Source organism: Homo sapiens, chromosome 7, assembly GCF_000001405.40.
Source record: "Homo sapiens chromosome 7, GRCh38.p14 Primary Assembly".
Classification (NCBI taxonomy): Eukaryota; Metazoa; Chordata; class Mammalia; order Primates; family Hominidae; genus Homo; species Homo sapiens.
Window position 1 is genome coordinate 132,971,888 of NC_000007.14, and position 23,102 is coordinate 132,994,989.

At 41.1% G+C, this 23,102-nt stretch overlaps 1 protein-coding gene across 5 annotated transcripts in view, besides 2 other annotated features; it reads right to left on the reverse strand.

The window, feature by feature from the left end:
• Positions 1-23,102, reverse strand: part of CHCHD3 (coiled-coil-helix-coiled-coil-helix domain containing 3) — a 297,221-nt gene that overhangs the window by 187,018 nt on the left and 87,101 nt on the right. For 4 of the 5 annotated variants that reach the window (NR_133671.2, NM_017812.4, NM_001317177.2 and 1 more), the window contains one exon: positions 3,282-3,399. Coding sequence is in view for 4 of the 5 variants with exons in the window: in NM_017812.4 (NP_060282.1) it covers positions 3,282-3,399 (118 nt within the window). In the remaining variant the exon portion in view is untranslated. Of the gene's footprint in view, positions 1-1,540; positions 2,138-3,281; positions 3,400-23,102 lie in introns of those variants that run through there. The other variant, NM_001317178.2, reaches the window with a different exon arrangement.
• Positions 7,665-7,714: an enhancer, noted in NCBI's record as "active region_26679". NCBI's record gives its function as "activates an Ori minimal core promoter by ATAC-STARR-seq in GM12878 lymphoblastoid cells {active_cell/tissue: GM12878}" and the evidence as "EXISTENCE:reporter gene assay evidence [ECO:0000049][PMID:35858748]".
• Positions 7,765-7,844: an enhancer, noted in NCBI's record as "active region_26680". NCBI's record gives its function as "activates an Ori minimal core promoter by ATAC-STARR-seq in GM12878 lymphoblastoid cells {active_cell/tissue: GM12878}" and the evidence as "EXISTENCE:reporter gene assay evidence [ECO:0000049][PMID:35858748]".

Below are 23,102 nucleotides of genomic sequence, written 5' to 3' on the forward strand. Positions count from 1 at the left end.
AATGCTAACCTTTCTGGGGTGACTCCCACATCAATTATGGGTTCTGAAGATGCCCACCTCTCCAGCTGGGGATCAAGGAACTAACAAACAACAGCAGGCTTGCGATCACTGTCCACACCGCACAGTACTGGTTTGGAGGGTGGTGGGATACATAATCTGAGACCCTAAAGCATGTATAAAATATATACATATGGGGAAGGGAGAAAGAACTTTATACCTCTAAACATTAATGATAGATGACAGAATTATAACAATACTGATTTTCTTTGTAATTTTTTGTTTTCCAAGTGTTCTATAATATTCTTGTATTAATTTAGTAATTAGTGGAAAACTCAGTGAAACACAACCATTAAAATGTGACCACACAAAAACGTATTTATCAGTATAAAAACTTTTACCACATGGCCTAAATGTTTTAATGTGAAGGTTATTGTAACAGTTATACAAAAGAGTGTATACTATTATCTATGTTTGGAGAAATACCGTTATACACATAAAATCAAATGTTTTATACCAACTCAGTGGGAAGTAAAAAGGAATATAAACACAACAAACCAAAATGTTAACAGTAACTATCTCTGAATTGTAGTACATTGAGTGATTTTAGTATCCCTTTGTATTTATTTTCTAATCTTGATCCAATGAATATGTATGTCTTCCATAATAATAAATAACAACAATAAAGGGAGAAATCTGGTAAATAAATTGGGAACTGCCCAATAACTAAATGTCACTGGCAGCCATGTTGCTGTGGCCATGGCAGACCATGCAAATGTCTGACAACACTCTGGGAAGGAAGGGACTCTCTCAATCAGCTGTCATCCTATGGCATAAATTCCACTTTTATTCCCTAAGTGCTTTGAGGGCTCTATTTGGCAAATATTACAACAGATGCTGAAATACAGGAGTTGTGAGTACTACAATTTGTCATCTATACCACACAACCAGAATCTGTAAATAAGAGATCTACAAATCAGAATGTACGAGGCCAGTTTCTCATGCTTCACCAGCTACACAAAGCAGTAAAGACAGACAATAGACAAGATTTATTAGGTAAAACAGAACAGACTGCAGATATGCTATTCCAATCAAAACATGTTGCTTAATATTTTAGTTATGTTGAGTAACAAATCTTTTGATACTTTCACATTTTTTTGTGAAATCTCTTTTTATGTCTTGCTGAGTGTGTGTATATATTTAATGAGTTTTTTGAGTTTTTGAATCTTGCTGGTCTCCATAAACTAAGAGAGTAAGACAGTATGTCCAAATTCAGGCAAAAAGAGGTGGAGAAAGAGTGCTTCAAAGATAAGATTCAAAAGAGTAAAAGCTGGGAGGCAAAGAGAAATGCCAACCAAGGTATTCTTCTGCCCGCTGGAAACTAAGAGTTTTGCTCTCGTACCTTCCTCAAACATGAGCACTATTAACCTCCTCCACTACATCCTTAGCTTCCAAATTTGGAGACTTTAATATACATAGAAATGACTTTTCAACCCACTGACCTGATATTTTTTCAGCTTCCTCAAAAAATCCTTCAGCTTAGACGTACAACAAATTTAATTTTCAGTTGAGTTACTCAAAACTTACTGTCTTTAATTCTGAAATTATTCCCCTTTCACAATGACTGACTTTGCTTCCACCTCTCTTATTCCCTTTGTTCCACTCAACACATGTACTGTTCTTAGGGCAGCTGCCAGTCAGTCCACTGACATTTCTTTCTTGGTCTACCACCTCTATTCTGGCTTCACTATTTGCCCATGCAACCGGGACCCCAGATTTGTCACTGAAGAAACTGATTCATTACGCATGGACTTCCTTTCATGTTCTCTGTTTGCAGCTGGTCATGGGTTGGTCTTTCAGAGAAGTGACTAAGGTAAAGAATGGGAGAGACTAGAAATGAGCCTTCTTCTTAGAAAGTTTTAGTGTTTCCCAATTGCCTAGTGAACTAGGAAAATCCCCCTCACTCTTCAGTTCAAAGTTCTCCATTCCATGGTCCCATTTTCCCTGTCCAGTGAGTTCCCAACTGTGCTCCAATGAGGACTAAAGGTTCCGAGGAGTAACATCTGGGTTTCTAGGAAGGCCGAAGTGGAGGCTAAGCAGTCAACACTCCAGGTTTCACCCAGAGCAGCTCCACTTTTATCTATCAAATAACAATAAGAAATTGCTTAATAAATTATGTTGAATACAAAAGGCAGAACATTATTCAGCCATTAAAAACTACATTTCAGAAAAATGTTCAGTGACATAGGAAAATGTTCATGAGGCTTAACACCATCTATAGCATTATCTAAATGTTTCAATATGTTAAAAAGCCTAGAAAAAAATAATCTCGAGGAAAACACACACTGGTGTAAACCATGGTTATATCAGAAAGACAGATTGATGGGTGTCTTTTAAACCTTCTTCTGTCTGTTAGTAATACTTTTAAAGACAACAACAAAAACATGTCTATGTAATCTTTTAAAAGATTAAAAAATATTTTCTTTTTAAAAAAATTATCTTAGAAAAGACTGTTCCCCAAGGCCCTGGCTCTACATTTTCTCTTCCCTAAACCCCAGGCAGTGATTGATCAAACCTTACTCACCTTTGCCAGAGTCTTCCAGACTAACATCTGGTAGTTGCCAGCCACGAGAGAAAGAAGCCTACATTGCTGACCCCTGAGGTTTCAAAGACAATAAAACCAAAGGCAAAGGACAAAAAAAGAAGACAGGCCGGGCTCGGTGGCTCACACCTGTAATCCCAGCAGTTTGGGAAGCCGAGGCGGGTGGATCACATGGTCAGGAGTTCAAGACCAGCCTGGCCAAGATAGTGAAACCCCGTCTCTACTATAAATACAAAAATTAGCTGGGCACGATGGCAGGTGCCTATAATCTCAGCTACTCGGGAGGCTGAGGCTGGAGAATCACTTGAACCCCGGAGGCGGAGGTTGCAGTGAGCTGAGATCGCACCACTGCACTCTAGCCTAGGCGACAGAGCAAGACTCCGTCTCAAAAAAAAAAAGGAAAGAAAAAGAAAAAAAAGCAGACAACAATCCTTCAGGTGTGAAACATGTACACATGTCTGCATGTTGGTCTTCAATACTTCCAGAGTTACCTGCCTTTAAAGTCCTTGATGGTTAAACCTAAACTGTAAGCTACTTATAAAAGGCAAAAATCAAAATCTGAGCAAAGAGAACATGAATAATATTATCAACACTAAAAGCTGGCACAGAGTACTTAGCTCTTCCCAAACATCAGAGATTTCCTTGTAGGCAAGAAAATTTCTCCTACATTTTTAATACTCACCAGGTGCTTTGCCTTAGCGCGTTCCTCCTCGCTACATATCCTCTCCCGAAGGATGGCTCTGGTTAACTGCTCATTGGCAGCAGCCCTCTCTCGGTCCAGCTCTTTGGCTTGCTTTAGTCTAAAATGACAAGAATTGTCTAAGTTAGAAAAAATATTTTATTAGTTGACATTATTTTCTATCAAATGAAATAATTTAAAAATAGAAACACATAGCCAAAAAGGTCAACAGCTGAAATCATCTTGGCCCATAATCTATCAAAAAAGCAGGTATAGAGGTAAATCCCCATGCAGCCTCCACTCAAGCATTTCAAATAACCAAATTCAAATACATGAAGAAGCTTATTAATTTGGCTGCCAAATATAACTAAGTTTTACAAAGTTCTTCTTATGTAAAATTAAAATCTGCCCACCAAAAAAATTCCATCCCTGGTGCTTCCATTTGGCCTCTGAAAATTTAAGTAATTAACAAACCATCTAGGCCAGGCGTGGTGGCAGCTCACACCTGTAATCCCAGCACTTTGGGAGACCAAGGCAAGTGGACCACTTGAGGTCAGGAGTTCAAGACCAGCCTGGCCAACATGGTGAAACCCCGTCTCTACTAAAAATACAAAACTTCGCTGGGCGTGGTGATACATTCCTGTAATCCCAGCTACCTGGGAGGCTGAGGCAGGAGAACTGCTTGAGCCTGGGAGGTAGAGGACGCAGTGAGCTGAGATCATGCCACTGCATTCTAGCCTGGGCGAATGAGACTCCGTTTAAAAAAAAAAAAAAAAGCCATCTACATGACAAATATTTGAAGGTAACCATCGTCTCTTTCTCCAAACTTACTCAACTCGTCCATTTACTGAATGCACACCAGGCACTGTGCTAGGCATTGAGGACACAGCGATAAACAAGATGGACAGGTCACTGTCATTGTGGATGTTACAGCACAGCAGAGAAGCCAGACATTATGGAACTAATAAGGACATCTTTCCTCCCAGTATATTACCCCTATTTTCCAACAATCCTCATATGCAAATATGACCACGCCTTTCAACTGCAGGGCTCCTCACTTCTGGAATGACTCCAATCGATCTGTTAGCTCCAAACTAAACCTAACCCTCCAGACATGCTCTAGCAAACTAAGACAGGAGAATCTTACTTCCCTAGATCTGTACACAATACTAATTCTATTAATGAAGCATAAGATTGCATTAGATTTCTCAGTAGCCTCATCACACAATTAGATCATATTAAGTTACAACCCACTAAAACCCCTCATTGTACATGATAAAGATAAATTACTTTGGCACTGATTTTTGCCATAGTGCCTGGCACATAGAGGCATTCAGTAATCACTGAATCACTGAAGATTTCAGTCTAATCTCATGAACAAAGATTTTCTGACTGCCTTTTCTTCTTTGAGAGAATAACCCTACTATACCATCATATCCCTGAAGGTATAGCTATGCTTTAAAAAGGAAAAGTAAAATTGTTATGTTGGTGTAAGTGAAATTCTGAGTGAAATCTACTTTATACGTGTGAATGATGAGCACCAAATTCTACTCAGTACTAGCTTATCAAATTTTAGTTTTAAAAAGATTTTTGAAAAAAACTAGAGATAAAATTTTGTGTTACTATTTTTAAATTGCTACATCATCCTGATACTCTGGAATTCTCAGAAATCAACTACAACAGAAAAAAAAAAGTCACCTTGTGAGATATATTCCAAAGTTATCATCCTTTTCCCCTAAAAATCAAAGCTGTGTAGTTTTGTGTCTTAAATAAAAAAAAAGAGGACTAGAAACAAGTTAAAATCTGTATTTCGAAATTCTCTAATGCAAAAGTAACCTTTGGGAAACTTCCTAAGCAATAAGCACAATGACACTCATACAAACCAAATTTCTCTAAATTATTTCACAAGGACCATACAATAAATTCAGCAACATCAATGATATCAACACATTAACACCACTGGATATGTGTAATTGTAAGAGAACAGCAATAATTAGAAGTCACACCACTTCCTAGAACAGCAGTTCTAAAACTACAGTCCACAAACCAGCTGCAGTAGCATCAGCTGGGAGTCTGTTAGAAATGCAGCTTCTCTGATTCCATCCCACACTTGCTGAATCAGAAACTCTAGGGATAGTGCCTAGCAAACTGTCTTTTCATAAGCCCTCTAGAATTCTGATGCATGCTAAAGTTTAAGACTACAGCCCTTAATTACCAAAATACACTTGTACTCAAATAAATCCTGGAGGTAAATGAAAGTAACATCAAAAATGAAGTGCTCCCCATGAGAATATTGTGCAAATAACTGCTGAGGTTATCATATCAGATTACAATACTGTATTTAACGCATTTGTATGGACATCTTACCCCTAAGTAAAAAAGCATTACCTATTTTTACCAGTGAGGTGGAAACTAAAATAAAATAATAAAATTACTATCATTTATGGATCAACTACTAAGCACTGTGCTAGGCACTTTACAAACATATATAAAATGTTTATTCAAATTCTATTATTAGTTCATGAACATAAAATGAATTCTGTTCAACTGAATTATCACATCTACCACATTTGGTGTATCTAATTTTAAAGTACTGTTTAAAAATTACTACTTTTTTTTTCCATTTTAGTTTACTTATGTATGGCTTAGATTTTAATTACATATGGAGTTCTACATGGTTCAACTTTAAGAAATACAGGATCATAAGGATTTTGGCAAGTTAATGAAAAAGAAGCAAAACATGAGCACAAAAGCCTTCAATGTGATAATAAAAATAAACATATTTAGCTTGCCATGACTGGTACAGATATGCAAACTCTGGGTCCAAATCAAGGCTCTAAACTTCCTATCTGAATAAGTACTTTATTTAATCTCCGGTGAGTCCTGTTATTCTCATGGGTAAAATGAAATAGTGTAATACCTACCTTACAGCGTTCTATATAAACAAGGCACTCAGCACAATGCCCATAACATAATATACACTCAATAAATGTTAGGTAAGTAGCAGTAATAATAATAGTACCCACTATGCGGGTAGGAATACAGAGAAAGCAGTGATTTTACGAAATGAAGAAGACAATCTCCAAATTCACTAACTACAATGCCATCTCCATCATCTTTTCCAATTTTTCACCAATAAATTCTGCTTTATTTTTATGATCTCTAAGGACTTCTAAAATCACAAATTGACTCTACTAACTCCAGCAGCTAGACCCTTTCACAAGCTGCTTCCTTTCCCTCTTGTCCATAGCTCCATAAGGACAACGATTTGCCCTATTTTTGTTCACTGCTATATCCCCCATACTTATAAAAGTGCCTGCCACATATCAAACACGCAAGAAAAAGTTGTTGATGTATGCATGTGTGAATGAATGAATGAATAAATAAATAAATGGCATATTTCTAACCACAAACAAAACAAGGAAAACAAACTGCAAAAGAACACAAGGCGATGGTATATAAGAAACAACTAACGAGACAAACTGTATCCTCCAAGGGCTTAGCCACCATGTTAGATGTGGCACATCTGTGATATAATCCCAGGCTACATTAAATAGCCTACAACAGGAGGTGCCACAACAGTCCAGAGCCCCTCCAACATCAACACCTAACTATATTTGACACCTGGATTGAAAGAGGATTGGCAGTGGTGCAAACTGACTAAAAAGAATATTATTTTCCTTTCTTAATAAATTCTTATACTTTCATTCATCCTTACAAATAGAACTGCACAAATTCTCAAATGTTTTTAAAGGAATGTTTATAAATTTTAAAAAAACTTTTTTTAAGGTCTGTATGGTGACTGTTTAAGAAACCAAATTTTTTGTCATCAGGGAGTTTGGCAGTAGGACTCTGAACAAATTCTCATTTCCTATCAACAACTTAGCTGTACAATCTAATAAGCCTCAGTTTCCTCAGTTTTAAAATTTGAAGGTTGAACTACTATATAATCTTATGGTCCTTTGCATATAAACATTCTAAAAAGTCTATACCTTAAACATATTATTCCTCATTCCATAAAAAATCTTGAAAAAGGTGGTGGCAGGGGATAAATAAAACAGAGGGGCATTATATTATCTCCCAGCTTGATACTGTTATAATTTCTACTCGATGGGCACATATACTTCTACTGTAATCCTGAGATTTCTCACTACAGTACTCAACAAAAACTACACACTGGAATTCATAAATTTATTCAGTATATAATTACTAGGTGAAAGGGACTACTCTGGTTACTGAGAATGAAGTAGTGAGCAAGAGACACAGTCCCTACTTTCATGAGCCATGATTACAAATAACAGATGCATTATTTTTAAAAAGTTAGGTAGGTATCTATGACACTGCATGGGTGGGACTGATATTTAACTTGAGCTCTACAGGACATTAACTGAGCAACATGGGGAAGGAGAAAGTGTCTTAGGCAGAGGAAACATCAGTTGGGTCCAGAAGCACCAAGAAAGGATTTCCTTCAGTTAGATTCCTGTGACACTTAGAAGGGTCTCTGAGGCATGAAATCACCTCTGCAAAGAATTTTACTTGCTTTCAGATTCTCTTGGAGGACAGAGTTTCAATGGTATACTGACTGAGGTTCAGTTTTGACCAGTGCCCAAAGATGAGAAGCTTCTAAGTTGTACCATTTCCCATTTAAAAGCAATAGATTTGAAACTTCAAAATTGTACCATTCTCCATTTCCCCAACCCTCCCCTCCAAAATATTGCATGGCAATTATTTTCTTCTAAGTTTCCTCTTTCAATGGTTCCTGTAAATTCTTTACTGAGCCAAAACCACTTTGCAAAGAAAAACTGCTTATGTTTTCAGAAACCCCCAATTACTTTCAAAGCTTCCTCTCTGGCCCCTTGGTTTTATACCGCATGGAGCTATACTATTCAACAGCCATCTGCAAAAGGTAGATGAGCTGTCAACCAATTTTTCTCTTTTTGAACCAAATAAGACAGCCCTGCCATCTGGGCCTCTCTGAAAACTACTGCCCAGATAGTGGAGCTATAAAATCAGAAGCCATGTTGTTTTGGGAACACTTCACTAAGGAGAGAAGACCCAGGCTCTCACTGACCAAGGGAAGGCAGGACTTTATATGTAAAGGCAGGAGATAAAATAAGTCTCTCATTATTAACTTGGGTTTCCAAAGATTTAAGAATTATCTCAAAACAAAACTAAACATGCCAAGTATCTTAGAGAATACATTCCTTTTTTATTTATTGGCATTTCCCACTTAATATTTTAGATCTCCTGCTCTAATATATTCTACATTAAGTCCCTGATTTAAGTTTCATTTAAATTTCTTTCTTTTAAATACATATCTCTCCTCATTTAAATTCTCTAGAGTTTCAAGCAAAGAAGTAGGAGTTTAGTGTAAACTTTTCTTGTTTGCATTAAGTAATTGGATAGCTTGCCTAAGCTTAATGAAACAAATACCAGTCAGTGCTGCCCTTAGACCTCAAGCCCTAGCAACTTAGCTCTTTCCTCAGTATATTGTCAATCAGGCGAGGGACTTAAGGTACACCAGCAAAATGAATTCCTAAAAGCCAGCCAAATCTCCTATAATAAATATTATTACATGTCCTTTTAAATGGGAAAACAAATTAACTACTTATAAAACATTCAACTTTCATGGACAGCAGGTATAAAATCTAGTTCTCTATATTTTAGTCCCAGGGTAAAAACTAGCCAGTTTGACTTTACTCTAAAGAACCTCAAGTTTTTAAGAAAGTAGAAAGAGAATTTTAAAGATAACTTTAGCAAGGCATTAACATATTGAACTTCATTCACCTCCATAAGGGAGGCATTACTAGCTCTAGTTTTTTTGTTTTTTGTTTTTTTGAAACATGGTCTTGCTCTCTTGCCCAGGCTGGAGTGCAGTGGCATGATCTCGGCTCACTGCAACCTCTGCCTCCCAGGCTCAAGCAATCCTCTTGCCTTAGCCTCCCAAGCAGTTGGGACCACAGTTGCATGCCACCAAGCCTGGCTGATTTTTGGGTTGTTTTTTTTTTTGTGGAGACGAGGTTTCAGCATGTTGTCCACATGGTCTTGAACTGGGCTCAAGTGGTCTTGAACTGGGCTCAAGTGATCTGTCCACCTCAGCCTCCCAAAGTGCTGAGATTACAAGCACAAGTCACCACACCAGCTACTATCTCCATTTTTAACATGAGAAAAACTGAGAAGTACAACAGAGGTGTGAAAGATGGTGATCTGACTTCCAAAGTCATACTTCTTAAACATCTTAAAGAGTAAACTTTCCTATAGGAATTAGTTTCCATTATACTACTCACCTTTGTGGTCATGTAAGGACAGTTTTTAAATCTTACATTATTCACGGTTATTTTAAAATAGGCTCTTTTAAAATTTGTGTATACTACACTAAGTCAGAGTTTGCCAGAGTCTAAATTATTACCACCCCTTTCCCAAAGTGGTTTGGCTTTTAATGGCCCTAAATGTTTTTCTGAATTTGGATACTGCTCATTTGGCCATTCACAAATACTCAGATTTATCTTCATGTAGGTTGACACATAAGTAATTCTATACAATTCTAGCTTAGAAAATTACTTTATAAATGTAATACATAAGGCCATTACACTATGGAGAGAAAGTTGATAAGAACTTCAGATAATGGGTAAGAATAAATGGGAAACGGAGATTGCTAGAGATAAAGTGATTTGACTAAATGACTTATCTAAAGTTGAACCGTGACCGTTATACATAGGCAATATATACAAGATACTGCAATGCACTTGATGCAGAAAGGCTATTTCAAACACTGAAAGAGAAAAATGAGTGACGACAACCTCAAAGGTCATTTTAATGCTAACAATGAATTTTATTTTAACGCATCATATTTTGTCAGAACCTGCCGAACCAGCATTCAAGATACTGTTTACCATCCATTTTTAAACAGAAGAGCTAAGCTGGGTAATTCAATGAAGTAATTATTAGACTATTAAAAATAAGGACAAAACACGTATACAGTTTTTGATTAATAAGACTTGACAAAAATAAGGGAACAGAGAAGCTTAACACTTCTCAGCTCAAATCGTTTCAAATCCTGGAAGAAAATATATGTGGATTGAGATTCCAAAATAAATACATAAACATGAATATGGCATCTTAATTTTTCTTTTTTTTGAGACGGAGTCTCACTCTGTCTCCCAGGCTAGAGTGCAGTGGTGTGATCTTGGCTCACTGGAACCTCCACCTCCGGGATTCAAGCGATTCTCCTGCCTCAGTCTCCCAAGTAGCTGGGATTACAGGCATGTGCCACCATGCCTGGCTAATTTTTGTATTTTTAGTAAAGACAAGGTTTCACCATGTTGGCCAGGCTGGTCTTGAACTCCTGACCTCAGGTGATCCACCCACCTCAGCCTCCCAGAGTGCTAGGATTACAGGCGAAAGCCACCACACCCAGCCTAAATTCATATATAATATCTGCATGTGTGACAGAAAAAGAGTTAGCATTTATTATGCTTACTCGTACCAGGTACAACTGTAAGCATTTGATGGGTGTAACTCATTTAATCCTCACAACAACCCTATTAAATCAATTATATTTCGGATGAAAAGCTGAGGCACAGAGAAATTATGTAAAATTGAGGCCTACAGAACTTTTAAGTACAGCTGAACCTTCAATAACACACGTTTGGACTGTGTAGAACCACATATGTGCATTTTTTTTTCAATAAATATATTGAACATTTTTTTGAAGACTTGTAGCAATTTGATAAAACTCACAGATGAATCACATATCTATAAATATAAATAAATTTTTAAAGTATGTCATGAATGCATAAAATATGTTGATTCTGGTCAGTTTTATCATTCACTATCATAAAATATATACGAATCTATTATTAAAAAGTTAAAATTGGCCAGGCGCGGCAGCTCATGCCTGTAATCCCAGCACTTTGGGAGGCAAGACGGGTGGATTACCTGAGGTCAGGAGTTCGAGACCAGCCTAGCCAACATGGCGAAACCCCATCTCCATTAAAAATACAAAAAATTAGCCAGGCATGGTGGTAGCACCTGTAATCCCAGCTACTCGGGAGGCTGAGGCAAGGAGAATTGCTTAAACCCGGGAGGCAGAGGTTGCAGTGAGCTGAGATCACGCCATTGCACTCCAGCCTGGGTGACAGACCGAGACTCTATCTCAAACAAAAAGTTAAAATGTATCAAAATGTATGCACACAAACAGACTGTACATGGCACCATCTGCAGTGGACGGAAACGTAAACAGAGGTAAAGATGCAGTATTAAGTCATAACTGCATAAAATTAACTATAGTACATACTGTATTGCTATAATTCAGTAGGCACCTCCTGTTGCTATTGTAGCGAGCTCAGGAGTTACGAGTATCTGCTTAACACACTGTGATGCTAATCATCGAGTGAGCAGTTAGTCTCTCCAGTAAATTGCATACTGCAGTAAAAAGTGATCTTTTGAGGTTCTCGTGTATTTTTCATTGTTTATTACAATACCATAACTTTGCATCACATCATGGGACCCATACAAAGTGTCACTAGTGATGCTAGAAGTGCTCCCGAGAAGCAGAGAAAAGTCATGACATTAGAGGAAAAAAAAGTTGAATTGCTTGGTAAGTACCATAGATTGAGGTCTGCAGCTGCAGTTTCCTGCCACTTTGAGATAAGTGAATCCAGCATAAGGACTGTTGTAGAAAAAGAAAAGAAAATTCACGAAGCCTTCAATGCAGCTATGCCAGCAGGTCCAAAACCCCTGCATGTTTTGAGAAATACCTTTTAATCTTGTATTGAAAATACAACTTCTCGGAAAGGCTCCTCCTCTCCCTCTCCCTCCTCTCCCTCTCCCCACGGTCTCCCTCTCCCCACGGTCTCCCTCTCCCCACGGTCTCCCTCTCCCCATGGTCTCCCTCTCCCCACGGTCTCCCTCTCCCTCTCTTTCCACGGTCTCCCCCTGATGCCGAGCCAAAGCTGGACTGTACTGCTGCCATCTCGGCTCACTGCAACCTCCCTGCCTGATTCTCCTGCCTCAGCCTGCCGAGTGCCTGCGATTGCAGGCGCACGGCGCCACGCCTGACTGGTTTTCGTATTTTTTTGGTGGAGACGGGGTTTCGCTGTGTTGGCCGGGCTGGTCTCCAGCTCCTAACCGCGAGTGATCCGCCAGCCTCGGCCTCCCGAGGTGCCGGGATGGCAGACGGAGTCGCGTTCACTCAGTGCTCAATGGTGCCCAGGCTGGAGTGCAGTGGCGTGATCTCGGCTCGCTACAACCTCCACCTCCCAGCTGCCTGCCTTGGCCCCGCAAAGTGCCGAGATTGCAGCCTCTGCCCGGCCGCCACCCCATCTGGGAAGTGAGGAGCGTCTCTGCCTGGCCGCCCATCGTCTGGGATGTGAGGAGCCCCTCTGCCTGGCTGCCCAGTCTGGAAAGTGAGGAGCGTCTCTGCCCGGCCGCCATCCCATCTAGGAAGTGAGGAGCGTCTCTGCCAGGCCGCCCATCGTCTGAGATGTGGGGAGTGCCTCTGCCCTGCCGCCCCGTCTGGGATGTGAGGAGCGTCTCTGCCCGGCCGCTCCGTCTGAGAAGTGAGGAGACCCTCTGCCTGGCAACCGGCCCGTCTGAGAAGTGAGGAGCCCCTCCGCCCGGCAGCCACTCCGTCTGGGAAGTGAGGAGCGTCTCCGCCCGGCAGCCACCCGGTCTGGGAGGGAGGTGGGGGTCAGCCCCCCACCCGGCCAGCCGCCCCATCCGGGAGGGAGGTGGGGGGGTCAGCCCCCCGCCCGGCCAGCCGCCCCGTCCGGGAGGTGAGGGGCGCCTCTGCCCGGCCGCCCCTACTGGGAAGTGAGGAGTCCCTCTGCCCGGCCAGCCGCCCCGTCTGGGAGGGAGGTGGGGGTCAGCCCCCCGCCCGGCCAGCCGCCCCGTCCGGAAGGGAGGTGGGGGGGTTAGCCCCCCGTCCGGCCAGCCGCCCCATCCGGGAGGTGAGGGGCGCCTCTGCCCGGCCGCCCCTACTGGGAAGTGAGGAGTCCCTCTGCCCGGCCAGCCGCCCCGTCCGGAAGGGAGGTGGGGGGGTTAGCCCCCCGCCCGGCCAGCCGCCCCATCCGGGAGGGAGGTGGGGGGGTCAGCCCCCCGCCCGGCCAGCCGCCCCGTCCGGGAGGTGAGGGGCGCCTCTGCCCGGCCGCCCCTACTGGGAAGTGAGGAGTCCCTCTGCCCGGCCAGCCGCCCCGTCCGGGAAGGAGGTGGGGGGGTCAGCCCCCCGCCCGGCCAGCCGCCCTATCCGGGAGGTGAGGGGCGCCTCTGCCCGGCCGCCCCTACTGGGAAGAGAGGAGCCCCTCTGCCCGGCCAGCCGCCCCGTCCAGGAGGGAGGTGGGGGGGTCAGCCCCCGGCCCGGCCAGCCGCCCCGTCCAGGAGGGAGGTGGGGGGGTCAGCCCCCCTCCCGGCCAGCCGCCCCATCCGGGAGGTGAGGGGCGCCTCTGCCCGGCCGCCCCTACTGGGAAGAGAGGAGCCCCTCTGCCCGGCCAGCCGCCCCATCCGGGAGGGAGGTGGGGGGGGGGTCAGCCCCCCGCCCGGCCAGCCGCCCCATCCGGGAGGGAGGAGGGGAGGTCAGCCCCCCACCCGGCCAGCCACCCCGTCCGGGAGGGAGGCGGGGGGGTCAGCCCCCCGCCCGGCCAGCCGCCCCGTCCGGGAGGTGAGGGGCGCCTCTGCCCGGCCGCCCCTACTGGGAAGTGAGGAGCCCCTCTGCCCGGCCACCACCCCGTCTGGGAGGTGTACTCAACAGCTCATTGAGAACGGGCCATGATGACCATGGCGGTTTTGTGGAATAGAAAGGGGGAGAAGGTGGGGAAAAGATTGAGAAATCGGATGGTTGCCATGTCTGTGTAGAAAGAGGTAGACATGGGAGACTTTTCATTTTGTTCTGTACTAAGAAAAATTCTTCTGCCTTGGGATCCTGTTGATCTGTGACCTTACCCCCAACCCTGTGCTCTCTGAAACAGGTGCTGTGTCCACTCAGGGTTGAATGGATTAAGGGTGGTGCAAGATGTGCTTTGTTAAACAGATGCTTGAAGGCAGCATGCTCGTTAAGAGTCATCACCACTCCCTAATCTCAAGTACCCAGGGACATAAACACTGCGGAAGGCCGCAGGGTCCTCTGCCTAGGAAAACCAGAGACCTTTGTTCACTTATCTGCTGACCTTCCCTCCACTATTGTCCTGTGACCCTGCCAAATCCCCCTCTGCGAGAAACACCCAAGAATGATCAATAAAAAAAAGAAAAAGAAAAAGAAAAAAGAAAAAAAAAAAAAAAGAAAATACAACTTCTATATGAGTGCTGGATTGCTAAGAAAGGAAAGGCTTACCTATAGACTCTAATGCGATTTGAGGAAAAGTCAAGTCTCCATTATGTGATAGATTAAAGGCGAATTTAATACCAGCAAAGGATGGTTTGATAATTTGAGAAAGAGGTTTTACTTAAAAATGTCAAGATAATAGGAGAAGCAGCTTCTGCTGACCAAGAAACAGCAAACCAGTTCCCAGATGCCATTAAGAAAATCATTGAGAAGAAAGGATAACTGCCTGAACAGATTTTTAATGCAGACAAAAGTGCCCTACTCTAGAAAATAAATGGCATGAAAGACATACATTAGTAAAGAAGAGAAGCAAGTACAAAGATTTAAGATAGGAAGGGATAGGCTATCTCTACTAGTTTTGTGCAAATGCAGTTGAGTTTATGGCACAATTGTCCTTATCTATAGAGCTGCTAACCCCTGAGCCTCATAGGGAAAAGATAAACACGAGCTGCCAGTCTTTTGGTTGTACAAGAAGGTCTACACAATAAGAACCTATTTTCTAGATAGGTTCCATCAATGATTTGTCCCTGAAATCAGAAAATACCTTGCCAGTAAAGGACTACCCTTTAAAGTTCTTCTGATATTGGACAATGCCTCTAGCCACCCAGAACCCCATGACTTCAATATTGAACACATCAAAGTGGTGACTTACCCCCAAACAGAATGTTTTTATTTCAGCCTATAGATTAGGGGATCATAAGGACCTTTCTTCATCAGACATGATAATCTATGAAAAGGACTGTCAACACTATGGAAGAGAACCCGGACAGAGAGAACATCATGAAGTCTGAAAGGATTACCTCATGAAGATGCCACTGTTGTTAAAGAAAAAGCCATGAAAGTCATCAAGCCCAAAACAACAAACTCCTCCTGGAGGAAACTGTGTCCAGATATTGCACATGATTTACAACAGAGTCAACCAGGGAAATCATGAAAGAGATTGTGAATATAACCAAAAAAGGTGGGAGATGAAGGGCTTCAAGATGGACCTTGGAGAAATTCCAGAACTAACAGACACCACACCAGACGAATTAACAGAAGATGGACGACATTATGGTGATGAGTGCCTTCGAAACAGCGCCAGACGATGAGAAGATGTAGAAGAAGCAGTGCCAGAACACAACTGACATTAGACAATCTGGCACAAGGGTTCAGATTATCCAAGACTACAAATGACTTATTTTATGACAGGGACCCATCTAAGATATAGTCACTGAAACTAAAGCAAACAGTGGGAGGAGAACTGGTACCATGTAGAAACATTTTTAGAGAAACTAAAAAAAGCAAAAAAAGTCAGACAGAAATTATAAGGCATTTCCATAATATGTCTGCCTGTCCTTTCATCTTTTCTGCCTCTACCACCAGAGACAGCAAGACTAACCAACCCTCCAGCCTGAAGACAAGGAGGATGAAGACCTTTATGATTATCTACTTACACTTAATAAATAATAAATATATTTTTTCTTGCTTATGATTTTCTTACTAACATTTTCTATACTCTAGCTTACTTTATTGTAAGAATACAGTATGTAATACATATAACATACAAAATATGTGTTAATCTACTCTGCTATTGGTAAGGCTTCCGGTCAATAGATGACTATTACTAGTTCAGTTTTTAGGGAGCCAAAAGTTATATACAGATTTTCAACTGCACAAGGGATCAGTGTTCCTAACGCTCAGGTCATTCAAGGGTCATAAGAAACTTACCCATAGTCAAATTTACCCAAAATAAAACCAGTGAGAGGTATAGCCAGAATTAAACTCAGCCCAACTTCAGAGCCTGCATTCTTACAGAAAATACACACACACACACACCCACACACACACACACCCACACAAATATACAGATACCATTAAAATAAGTGGCATGGGGGTAGAACTTTGTCTTATATACCATTGTAATCCCCACATTAAATAATACCTGGCACTTGGTAAGCATTCAAAATATATTTTGAAAGAATGAATACAGAGTGTGAGCATATTTTTATAAATATTATGGAACATAGGTACTCTTTATATAATGATTATTTAGCAATATATATTTTACATAATGGTAATTTAGCAATAAATTAAATAAAATGGGTTCCTCATCCACAGGTTTAACCAAATGGGAATCAAAAATTTTTAGGGAAAAATAAATAATAAAAGCCAGGCTCAGTGGCTCATGCCTGCAATCCCAGCTGCTCAGGAGGATGAGGTGGGAGGATCACTTGAAGCCAGGAGTTCAGAACCAGCCTGGGCAACATAGTGAGCCCCCATCTCTAACAAAAAAAAATTTTTTTATCAGTCAGGTGTGGTGGCACCTGCTTGTAAGTCCAAGCTACTAGGGAGGCTACAGCAGGAGAATCACTTGACTGCAGGATTTGGAGGCTGCACTGAGCTATGATCACAGCACTGTACTCCAGCCTGGGCAACAGAATGAAACCCTGTCTCTTAAAAAAATAAAGAAAATAAAAAAATAGTAACACAATTTTTAAAAATACAAATTTTTAATATACAGTATAACAACTATTTACATAGTGCTTACATTGTATTGTAAGTACATCTAGAGATGATGTAAAGTATACGGGAGGAAGTACACCAGTTATATGCAAGTACTATACTATTTTATATAAGGAACTTGAGCATCTGAGGGTTTTGGAATCCTTAGGGATCCTGGAACCAATCCTCCATGCATATCAAGTGAGGACTGTATTTAACCAGCATTAAGTCCTGGTTCTGAATAAAACCAAGAGGACATTTATTTTGGTCATCTACATTTCTGTGTAAATAGCATTGAAAATGGCACTCAGAATTTAAGTCAAGGTTTCCTTCCTTTCCAAAGGAACATAGAAAAGGTGATTTTATTTTAATTCACAATAAAATTTTGTTGCAATCTGGAAATATGCCTGCATAGCTTCAAAATGATGCAAGAGAAAAAAAAAAAACTCAGCCCATAACTGAAAGCCTAGGACTATAATTATGGATTACCTACAGCCATAATCCTAACTAGCTTTCATCTCCCCCTTCCAGATGATTGCCTCCCATTTACACATTGTATATTACTTTATACCTAAAGTCCCTATTTCAGTTCTCATTTGGGAACAAGTACCACCTGTCCTGGATGCTCTTGGACCTTCTTCTTAAATATTTTCTCCTACTGCACTGAAAAATACATTTATATTTGAAAAGTATTCTGATTTTAGTTCATAAGTTAATGTTCCTATATCCATGGCTCCTGCACCCACTCTCTCTCAGAAATTCACAACCAAAACTACCTAGGAGGAAATTACACAACACCACAAAGTATCCTTGTCTTCCTCTACTGAAATGACCTATGGCCACTTCTTTGTCTAACTTGAACTGAATATTTAGAGGCATCTTAAACCGAGATCATCAGCTTTTTATCTTAAAGTACACATCAAATGTCATAATATTCAATATACGGGTGAATAATGGTGGGAATGGGGAGGTAAAGACACCACCATTAAACTGTGTCTTATCAGCAGGGCTTAATGGCCAATGTGGTGAAACCCCAACTCTACTAAAAATACAAAAATTAGCCGGGCGTGGTGGTGGGTGCCTGTAATCCCAGCTACTGGAGAGGCTGAGGCAGAAGAATCTCTTGAACCCAGGAGGCAGAGGTTGCAGTGAGCCGAGATCACGCCATTGCACTCCAACCTGGGAGACAAGAGCGAAACTCCATCTCAAAAAATAAATAAATAAATAACCTGTTTTACAGAAGTTATGGGAGGAAATGCTCATGCTTGACCTATTACTATTGTTTAGAAAATATCTATACTCCTCCCCATGCATCCTCCCCTGTAGCATCCTTCACTGGAATGGGCACTGCTGCTATGTATTTACTAAGATGCTGGAGCTAGACAATCATGAAGTCAGCTGGAAGAAAAAGGAACCTAAGGTCAAATGCAGACATCTCTGGGCAAATCCCTTTCATAAGCCAACTATCAACTCCTCCCGCAAACAGCGGCCCCATCCAAGATGGGCAGCTTGAGCCCTGGACAGATGACAATGTGAAATGGCTTCCTCCTGAAGACAGAAACTAGGGCAATAATCCTGGTTCCGTGACCTGAGAGACATGGGTGGGGTCTCATAAAGAGGACCGTAAGCTATGAAATAACATGAGAATCTCAGTACACTTCTGTAGACAAAACATACATCATTTACATTGTTTTGCACTTACGTTTCTTTTTCACAAGGGACACGTTTTTGCCAGGACTCGAATTTTGAAATTATGTTCATTGATAAGGCTAGGGAAACCTTAGGCCAGACAAAGAGATGACATTACCATTGTAAGCCCTATGGAGGAAAACAATCAATAATTCTCCTCTTCTTTTTGATTTCAAAAGACCTTCCAACTTGAACCAAAATGCAACCTCTCACCCTATACCTGCATTTAGCTTCTCAGATGTGGAGCTGAGAGGTGGATGTGAGTGGCCTTTCTGCTCCCCTACACAGACACACATACACACACACACACACACACACACACACACAACCTAACTCATTCTGTCTCTTTTTATACTAGATGTGCTAAATGTTAAAGCTTAGCATGCTCCTCCATGAAGCCAGAGTAAACATTTTTAAGGAAAAAATAATTATACAAAGTCCCTTATTATTTTTGTAAATCAACTAGACTTTGAATTTCTAATCATTTTTGATTCTTACATTGAGCTGCTAATTTGATTGATGCATAAAGGTTAATGGCTGCTGTCTTTATAAACTGTGCTTGTTATCATTACATAATTTGCTTCTTTATTCTGTTTAGTGTTTATAAGCTTTGATTGTACATTTTTTCATATTTCTTTCTGTTTGGCACAACTTTGCCAATCCATTAATTTTTAACCTTTATTAAGGTTAAAACAAATTACTTTGTTTTAACTGCATTTCATATAAATACATAGCTCTTATTGTGCATGTGGCAGCCTTGATCTTTAAATGGGTAATTGTGCCCAGTCACAATTATTAACAGTACAACTGATATACTTATTTCTTCCATTTTATATCATGTTTAATATTAATTTTACTTTTTCCCTTTTCCTCATTTTCCTGGTTGTATCAAGTTACCATACCCTCCCCCAACTCCCACCAAAAAATCTCATACTCTTTTCTCTACTGTTGTTTAAAAACACAGTTCCAACTATTTCCTCAAACACTACTCCAGCAAACCCAGTAAGATGAAATCGTTTGAATGCTTTGACTTTCCCCCAACCCAATTCTGAGCTAAGAGTTCAGTACTTTGAAACTCATAAAACTCTTAGTTTTTTTTTTCCTCAAGGATTTTTCTTCAATTTCGAGAATCTTTATTAGCACTTTATGAGACAATCCTGGTCTATCATTTATGTACACAAGGCAAAGACTGATCCTCAGGGGTGCTTCCCCTCCTCTCCATCTTCCCCTACATGGAAGTCTCTGTTGTAATTAATTTGGTTAGAATTATTTTTTAAGTATTATCCTAAGATGGACTACTGTGTTCAACATTTGGCTACGACTCTCAGCTTCTCACCCCTCTTCTGCTCTCTGCTTCATGATGTGGAGCTGGCGGGGAAGGCAAGGTCTCTAAACACATTTCTGCTTCATAGCTGGGTCCCTACTAGGACCCATCAAGGGAAGCCAGAGGGAAACTGCAAGGCTGGTGGAAGAACAAGGAGCTGTTTCCCATTTGCTTCCTATCGCGTCACTCGGGCCTCACTGCTTCCCAGCAGCAGCAGCACTTGCTCCTGCAGCAGCAGCAGTTGAGTCTGCACTTTGTTCAAGCTAAGTCTGCTTGCAAAATCAGCCTCAGTGCACCCCATTCTGGAGACACTGACCCTACCTACTGGCACACTCTTGAAAATCTCAGTCCCAGACCCACAGGTCTCTCCTCAGAGCTCCATGACAGCAGTCTACCAGCTAGGAAATGCCCCTTCCTCAGACGTCTGAGCTACATCCCACAGAGCCTCTCCTCCAAGCTTTAATGTTTTAACAACTACCTCTTCCCATTGCTCCCCCAGTGCTACATCTGAGATACTGTGGAGCTGCAATGTCCAATACAGTCCCCATTAGCCACATGCGGCTACTGAGCCCAGAAATGTGGCTAGTCCAATCCAAGACTTGCTTAATCATAAAATATACACTGGATTTTGAACACTTGGTATGAAAATAAATTTTATACTCCTTATGTTATTATTTTAGATATACTGAGAAAAAACCAGAATTATTTCTACCTTTTTTACTTGTGACAGAACTAGTAGAAAATTAACTACAATGATTGCTCACATAATATTTCTGTTAAACAGTACTGCTTTAGAGTTACTTTTTTTTGTTTGTTTTTGCCTTTTCAGCTCTTAAGTGCCTCATTAACAATTCTTACATTAAATTCTCTCTATAAAAATAACTGGTGTGTTTGATCTCCTTAATGGACTCTGCCTGCTAGAATTAAAATTAATAAATTTTCTAAATCCTTGCATATCAATGGTCCTCTTTTTCACCGTAACAGCTGAGTAAGAGCTCAACAGAGAATTGTGGGCTTGCAGTCCTTTTAGGTGTCATTCCATCTTCTAGCTTCCAGTCTGGCAGAAGAAAAGCCTAAACCCAGGCTGATCCCATTTCCTTTATAAATTAGTGTTCTTTCTATCTGGAAGTTCATAAGGCTTTCTCTTTATCCTTAGAGTTCTGAAATTTTAGCTGTCTATGACTAGGTGTGCATGTTTTCTCATCAGTGCCTCCTAGAATAAAGAGTCCTTTCAATTTGCAGACTCCAGTTTTCTTCAGCTCAGTGAAATGTTTTATATCACATAATTATCACCTCCTCTCAAACTCTTCCCTTTATCTCCTTCTGGAATTTAGTCTAATTCATCAAATATAACATGCATGAAGTTACTTTCTTCTACTCTTCACTATCTATGAAATCAAAATGCAACTTAAAATTGAGGGTGTATTAAAATCAAGTAGTAATCGTTGTCAATGCTACAAACATCAAAGCACCACTGAACTATTCCAAGAGTTCTTCCAAGACACACCTCTTCTAAGTTCTCATTTGTCTCTTTCTCTCCGCCTACTGTGCCCCATAGATGACCCCTTCTTTTTCATCTGCCTACGCACCAGAGCTCAGGTCCCACTGTTGGGCTGCCTTAAGTGGAAGGATCCACTAAGTGGTGGGAGATGAGGCAGCCTCTGCTGCTGAGGCCCAGTGGTATGCCAGCAGCTGATGAGTTTGCAGCCCCCTCTTAAGAAAACCTGGAGAAAGTCTCTCCCCATCCCTCACCCACCCAAACCAGTTGACAGGGACATGAAAACCAAAAGGTTATCTCAGGAACAGTCACAGAGACTGGGGCCAACACTGTTGATCCCTGCACTTTGCCAGAACTAGCCCAATGGCTCACATCTGTCGTCAGATGTGCTTCTGAGAAACAGCAACTAGTGGCGAGACTGAAATTGATAGCAGAAGGTGCAGAGATGCTTCAAGTCTCCAACTCCCAGAATCCTCTCCATTTTTAAAATGTCTATTTCATCTTAATGTTTTAACATTAAAGGGTTACTTAAAGAATTTTAGGGCAGAGTTAATAAGTAAAAAGTGCAAGATAGGGCAATCTGGGGCACTGTACATTAGTTCCTATGGAAATAATTTCCTTGTACCATCTTTTCACTATAGGCTACATTTTTCTAAAAAGACACCTTGAGGTTTAACATAGCCCCCTCCCCCACTCACTGTAAGTACTATATGAAGTCTTTCTATATATGTAGGATGAAAACTGTGAACACCAAAACAATCAAATAAGAGAAATTTGATATAGAGAGACAGAACAACATGGTCCAGTTTTGTAGCTCACTAATAATAATCAAACATAATGAAAAGACAGGTCTTAGACAATCAAGAAATAAATGGATTGCCTATATTTCAGAGCATGGCTTTGAGTAAACATTACACAGAAGTAAGTTCAAGATTAAACTTCATGGCCAGCACCTATTCTATGATGTTAGAGAAAGACACCGCCAATTGCTGTAAAGGTCAGCCAATCTGAGGGAAGAGTGATATCCGTTTTTGAAAGCTAGGAGTCTAATGAAGTTATATGAGAAAACAGAACAACCCCTCTCCAAAGGAATATATGCTGCAAAACTAATTTTATTCTGAAAAACTACTTGAAACCCACTCCAGCAAAAGGATAAATCGCCTCTTAAGAATCAAATTTTATATCATTGAACACAATCACAACAATTGTTATTATTAGCTAGTTAAACATAGGCCTTAGAAAACAATTTCCAACAGTCTTACTTCTGAATAAAGATGGCCCTATATTTTTTACCTCAACTCCTTACAACCTCAAAAGAAATACCAAGAGTTGAAGGGGCCTTATCCCCTAGACCAAGCTCATCTTTCTGTTGAAAGTCACCTTGGCATACACAGAGAGACCAACAGACAACATCAGCACCCACCATGCCTGCTCCACAGCGCATTCTCCTTAGATCACAGCAATCAATTTCATGCCTCTCTGACACTACTCATCTGCAAAAAATTCATTCCT